General features: G+C 40.4%; 2 annotated features.

Moving 5' to 3' along the window:
- Window positions 1,174-1,688: an enhancer, noted in NCBI's record as "H3K27ac-H3K4me1 hESC enhancer chr4:127411094-127411608 (GRCh37/hg19 assembly coordinates)". NCBI's record gives its function as "activates a minimal SCP1, AML or CMV promoter by ChIP-STARR-seq in primed H9 embryonic stem cells {active_cell/tissue: H9 hESC(primed)}" and the evidence as "EXISTENCE:reporter gene assay evidence [ECO:0000049][PMID:30033119]".
- Window positions 1,689-2,204: an enhancer, noted in NCBI's record as "H3K27ac-H3K4me1 hESC enhancer chr4:127410578-127411093 (GRCh37/hg19 assembly coordinates)". NCBI's record gives its function as "activates a minimal SCP1, AML or CMV promoter by ChIP-STARR-seq in primed H9 embryonic stem cells {active_cell/tissue: H9 hESC(primed)}" and the evidence as "EXISTENCE:reporter gene assay evidence [ECO:0000049][PMID:30033119]".

Below are 5,950 nucleotides of genomic sequence, written 5' to 3'. Positions count from 1 at the left end.
TACCACACAGACCCATAGGATCTATAGCAAAGCTAATGTTGTCCTCTGTATATACTATTTTTCTTTTTAGGGAAAAATGCATCTCTCTTACTACTGGGCTTTAGTAGAAACTAAACACTTAAAAACACGCTACCAAGTTCCTATGATACCTGAGAGACTTATCATGAAATGCATGTGGTTTGACCCACAGAAGCAGAAAGTGGTATGCCTATGGTGAGTGGTACATGTGACACTCAGCTTGAGTAGGACCAGAAGCTATAAGTAACTTATAGGAGCAAATGTGTTTTGTCCCATGTTTCCTTCCATCTATCCTCATCCTGCTGTGTCTGGAATTGGTAGGTTCTTGGTCTCACTGACTTCAAGAATGAAGCCGCGAACACTCGCGGTGAGTGTTACGGTTCTTAAAGATGGTGTGTCTCGAGTTTGTTCCTTCTGATGTTCGGACATGTTTGGAGTTTCTTCCTTCTGGTGGGTTTGTGGTCTCACTGGCTTCAGGAGTGAAGCTGCAGACCTTCACGGTGAGTGTTATAGCTCATAAAGGCAGTGCGGACCCAAAGAGTGAGCAGCAGCAAGATTTATTGCAAAGAGCAAAAGAACAAAGCTTCCATGGTGTGGAAGAGGACCCAAGTGGGTTGCCACTACTGGCTCAGGGCAGCCTGCTTTTATTCCCTTATCTGACCCCACCCGCATCCTGCTGATTGGTCCGTTTTACAGAGAGCTGATTGGTCTGTTTTGACAGGGTGCTGATTGGTGCATTTACAAACCTTGAGCTAGACACAGAGTGCTGATTGGTGCATTTACAATCCTCTAGCTAGACATAAAAGTTCTCCAAGTCCCCACTAGATTAGCTAGACACAGAGCACTGATTGGTGCATTTACAAACCTTTAGCTAGACACAGAGTGTTGATTGGTGCATTTACAATCCTCTAGCTAGACATGAAAGTTCTCCAAGTCCCCACTAGATTAGCTAGACACAGAGCACTGATTGGTGAATTTACAAACCTTTAGCTAGACACAGAGCACTGATTGGTGCATTTACAAACCTTGAGCTAGACACAGAGTGCTGATTGGTGCATTTACAATCCTCTAGCTAGACATAAAAGTTCTCCAAGTCCCCACCAGATTAGCTAGATACAGAGTGCTGATTGGTGCATCCACAAACCCAGAGCTAGACACAGAGTGCTGTTTGGTGCATTTACAATCCTCCAGCTAGACATAAAAGTTCTCCAAGTCCCCACCCGACTCAGGAGCCCAGCTGGCTTCCCCCAGTGGATCCTGTGCCAGGGTGGCACCCGTTGGAGAGGCTTGGGCCATGCCGGAGCAGGGGCAGGCGGGTAGGGGGGACGGGGTGCTTGTGTATGGTGGGCTGCAGGTCCCAAGCGCTGCCCCAGGGGGAGGCGGCTGAGCGTTCAAGCGTGGCACAGGCGGGCCAGCAGTGCCGGGGGACCCGGCGCACCCTCCGCAGCTGCTGGTCCGGGTGCTCAGCCCCTCACTGCCCAGGGCTGGCGGCACCGGCCGGCCGCTGCGAGTGCGGGCCCACTGAGCCCACACCCACCCAGAACTCGCGCTGGCCTGGAAGCGTCCCCAGTTCCCGCCTGCACCTCTCCCTCCACACCTCCCCGCAAGCAGAGGGAGCCGGCTCTGGCCTCAGCCAGCCCAGAGAGGGGCTCTCACAGTGCAGCGGTGGGCTGAAGGGCACCTCAAGCACAGCCAGAGTGGGCGCCGAGGCCAAGGAGGCACCGAGAGTGAGCGAGGGCTGCAAACACGCTGTCACTTCTCACTGTCACATTGCCTCCCTTTCTTTCCACGTATAGCTTCATAGCATCTTCCCTATGACTATATGTCTAAGAAAGAAAAAAAAAACTAGGCTCAGTTTAGTAATGGTTCTGCATGATTATCCTAGCACCACTCAAAAGTGGATAAGTCCAGCATGACTGCCTGAAGGGTGGCCCTGAAAGAAGTGATGAAAGAAAAGCCTCAAAATGGCAGAGCTTTGATTAGTGCAGTGTATCTGTTGTCTGTTTTACCTGGAATGAGAGGTGGCTGGAGATACAGATCTTCAATTATTTAATGGTAGTAGATAATTATTTGCATGGATGATAGCGGCATAAAAAGAACATATTTGGTAAACTGGTGAATGGTGATCTGAGGAAGATGACTATGAATGATTCTCTTTAAATGAGCAAAGAGTGTAGAGGCATTATTGTTCCATAAGCAAAATGCTCTCGAAAGAGCCAACTTGGCTGGAGAGAATCTTACTAATTGGGTAGACAAAATGACTTATTCCTTGCGTGTCAGTTTGCCTGTTGCTTCAGCTGCCCTTGTTCTTGCTTAATAGGCTAATGAACAAAGTGGCAATAAGGATAAGACTAAAAGCTAAACATGAGTACATTGCTGAGTACCCATTTGCCAAGAAGAGAGGCCAATAGTAATCTCATGATATGGTAGGTTGCTTATGGCTTATGTTGGAACACTTCCAGAAAAAAAGAAAAAAAACCATTCTTTGTTCTCACTGAAATAGACACTATAGATATGAATATGTCTTTTTCACAATGTTTCTGCCAAAATTACCAATTATGTATTTATTGAATGCCTTATTTATCAGGATAATCCACAGAGCATTAATTCTGATCAGGGAATTCATTTTACAGCAAATTGAATTTAGAAATGGGCTCATGCTCCTGTAATTCACTGGTTTAAATTCCTTATCACCTGGAGTAGCTGCCCTGATAGTCCAATCTAATGGCCTTCTGTATATTGCACTGAATAAGCAATCAATAAATAGTGCTCTTTTGATAAAGTCACTAATCATGGGCTCAAGGGTCATGGCATGACAAACAGAGTACATCTCTTACAATTACCCTGAAATATTCTCTAACAAAATTTTTGCTTGGTATGTCTGTACCTTAGGCTTCTGCTAGTTTACAGGTTTTAGTTTTCAAGGGAAGACTGCATTTACCATGGAACAAAGCACTGGTCCTATTAAATAGGAAGTTGAAACTGCTTCCTGGCCACTTTGAGTTTATCTTGCCACTGAACCAAGAGATAAAAAAGAAATTGACTTGTTGGAAGAGTTGATTCTATCAAGGGAAAATTGGGTTGTTAATACACCCACTTTAATTTCTGGTGATAGAGAGGAGTATGTCTGAAATGCAAGAGCCTTCTGGGAGATCTAGCACACGTGTATCATGTGATAAATTTCAATAGAAAAATAAAACATAACTTGATAAAGATAAGACTTTTACTGCCAGAGATGCTTCATGAATAAAGGATTGTATCAATGTACCAAGTAACAAACCATAAGCAGATAAGCTGCTTGCTGAGGACAAAGGGAAGAATATTTTAAACAGCAGCTATGACTGTGTGAGCAGTAGGAACAAAGACTTTCATCATTCTATTTCTTCTTTGCTTTGATGTGAATATGTGTATGCAGGTATGTATTATCAATTATTGTTCTTTTAAAAATTTCTTATTCCTCCACCATTACATAATATGTTAAGAGAAGATAACCTTATATGTTAATATTTAGGTTACAGAATATCTAAGGGGGAGTGTGACAAATATGAGAATGAACTTAACCTAAGATGGATAAGTGGGATTTTATGTATTTCTTTTTTAGCCAAGTGTTAGCATATTTTCATAAAGCAGAGAATAGCATAAAGGTAAATAGAATAACAACTTTGGTAATCTCTCTATTTGGAGGTTAAAAATGGTAAATAGATGATTATAAGATGCCACGTCACCACAGCTAGATTGGCCAAATGAGAATCTTGCATAAAAATTGAAAGGTGAAAATAAAGTGGTGACCATTACTCAGAAGGTGGCATGGACGGGTAAGTCTCAGGCGTATGTAGGCCCTCAGTGGCTCCCAGCTTGTCTTCTGCCCGTTTGTCTTTCTGAATGCTGCCCTTGCTGACTAACACTGGCCCAAGACCCACCACCAGATGCAGAAGCAGTGGTACACAAAAGCAGCAGTTTGCCATAAACTGCTCCATCTTCTCCCAATCTGCATCATCAGTCTGGTGCCCACATGTGCTTGGACCGTTGGGTTTGCCTGTAAACTCTGACTTTTCCAACTATGCTAGTTATTGAGGACATTTGGTTAGTAATTCCTTCTCTCATTATACAGCATCAACTTCCAGATTTTTAATTCCCTAGTACCTTCCTTATTTACATAATGTATACTTCCAAAATACATTTCTAGTTATCATTGGTCATAGTTGCTCTTCTTTCCCAATTAAACTTTAACCAATATATTCAGTGACAATATTTTTATTTCTAGTTAATTTTGCAACCTTTAAATAAATCTGCCTTGTCTTTAAAAATTATTTTGTCCCTTTATTATTAATAATTTGTAATTTATGATTCTAAATGCATATATTTGTATTATCTGAAAATCCTCTTTTCTAAAGCCATCACTATGTATGCAGTTGCCATCTAATGGGTCATCAGAAAGAATAGTTGTGTACTCTACCGTAACCAAGAAAGCCAACTCTACAGTTACCAAGATCTTATATGAAATTTTTCCCACTCCCAGATTTTTCTGCAGGTAACAGCTTATTGTATTTGAAGGAATTTCTACATGAGCTCTTTGAGAGGATGTTTTGAATTGTCCTAAACTTGGTTTTAAGCAAGAATCTAATGAAAAGTTATTAAATTAGACTGAGTTGTTACTGACTGGTGAGCTTAAGTATCCTTGCTACCCAGAAAGATAGGGTGTTTAACAAAAATTTGGTGACAGTTATGAGAAAAAAAAAAGTAATTCCATGTATATACCTTACCATGTGGAACTCATCAAACTTGTGAAGCCAAGTTTGACAAGCCAAGCTCAAATCTTCTTGTCCTTTCCATCTTGGTGACCTCTACATTAATTCTCTTTCCCAGACTTACACCAAACATCAGAAATGATCTTCTCATCCCAGGGTTGATCTTTCTACAAAGGGAAATCTGATTTTTTGACTGTGATATTTTAAATGTCTTCCCACTCACAGCATGAAGTACATTTATTAGTATGATCTTACTCCCACCACGCCCATACACATTGAATTAATTTAATCTGCTGCCAACCTCTATCCCCATACACATTGAATTAACAAGTCATAAGAAATGACCTACTTTACTGTGTCTGGCTTTTTCTCACCTGCTTATTTTTTCACATGCAATTCTTTGCTGTTCTGCTTTTCTGTATTTGTCTTTCTGGAAAATCCTACTAATTTTTTGCCTAATATATCATCTATCCCAAGAGACTTTCCCTAATCTCCTTTATTATAATTTATAAACATTCTGTTGTGACCTTCTAGGATTATAATAAATAACTTATTGAAATATTATAATTATTTGTGTACAAGCCTGTCTTCCCTACTGGGCTTTAAACTCCTTGAGGAGAGGAGCCAAGTCATAGAAACTTTTATATTTCCAGTGGCTAGCACAGTTTCTGCTGCTTAATGCTCAATAAATATCCAATCAGCATCACCTGTGCTACAATTTTGTAATGAATTATTGACAGATTCTGACTATTGTTTTGCAAAGTCTTTATTTATGGGCACATATCTATATGCCCATTTATTCTGTATAGTTTAGTAGTGGCACCACAAGAAGTGTTAAAATTGATGAAGATACTTTATAGAGTTAAGGATCACAGAACTGGCATGGGATTCATATTAATCTAGGAAAATTATCTGCATGATAATTAGATACTCTCCTGAGTTATTTCTTAATTCTGTAATCCTATTTTTAATAGTAAAAAATTGAAAATGTACGTCATGATATAAAGGGGAAGTAACTTAAAATCTGCATTTCCTTGATATTTGCTAAAATATGATACATTTCAGTAATTACTAATGTTAACAACAATATGAAAGCAGGGCCACTTTTTCTAGAGAAAAACACTTTGCTAACTGTAAGAGCTAAAGTTAGAAATGAGCTTGAAACTTTTGAACTCATTATCTTA

This window comes from Homo sapiens, chromosome 4 (genome assembly GCF_000001405.40).
Source record: "Homo sapiens chromosome 4, GRCh38.p14 Primary Assembly".
NCBI classification, from domain to species: domain Eukaryota; kingdom Metazoa; phylum Chordata; class Mammalia; order Primates; family Hominidae; genus Homo; species Homo sapiens.
The sequence above is the reverse complement of the archived record's forward strand: the minus strand, read 5'-3'. Positions and strand labels throughout refer to the sequence as shown.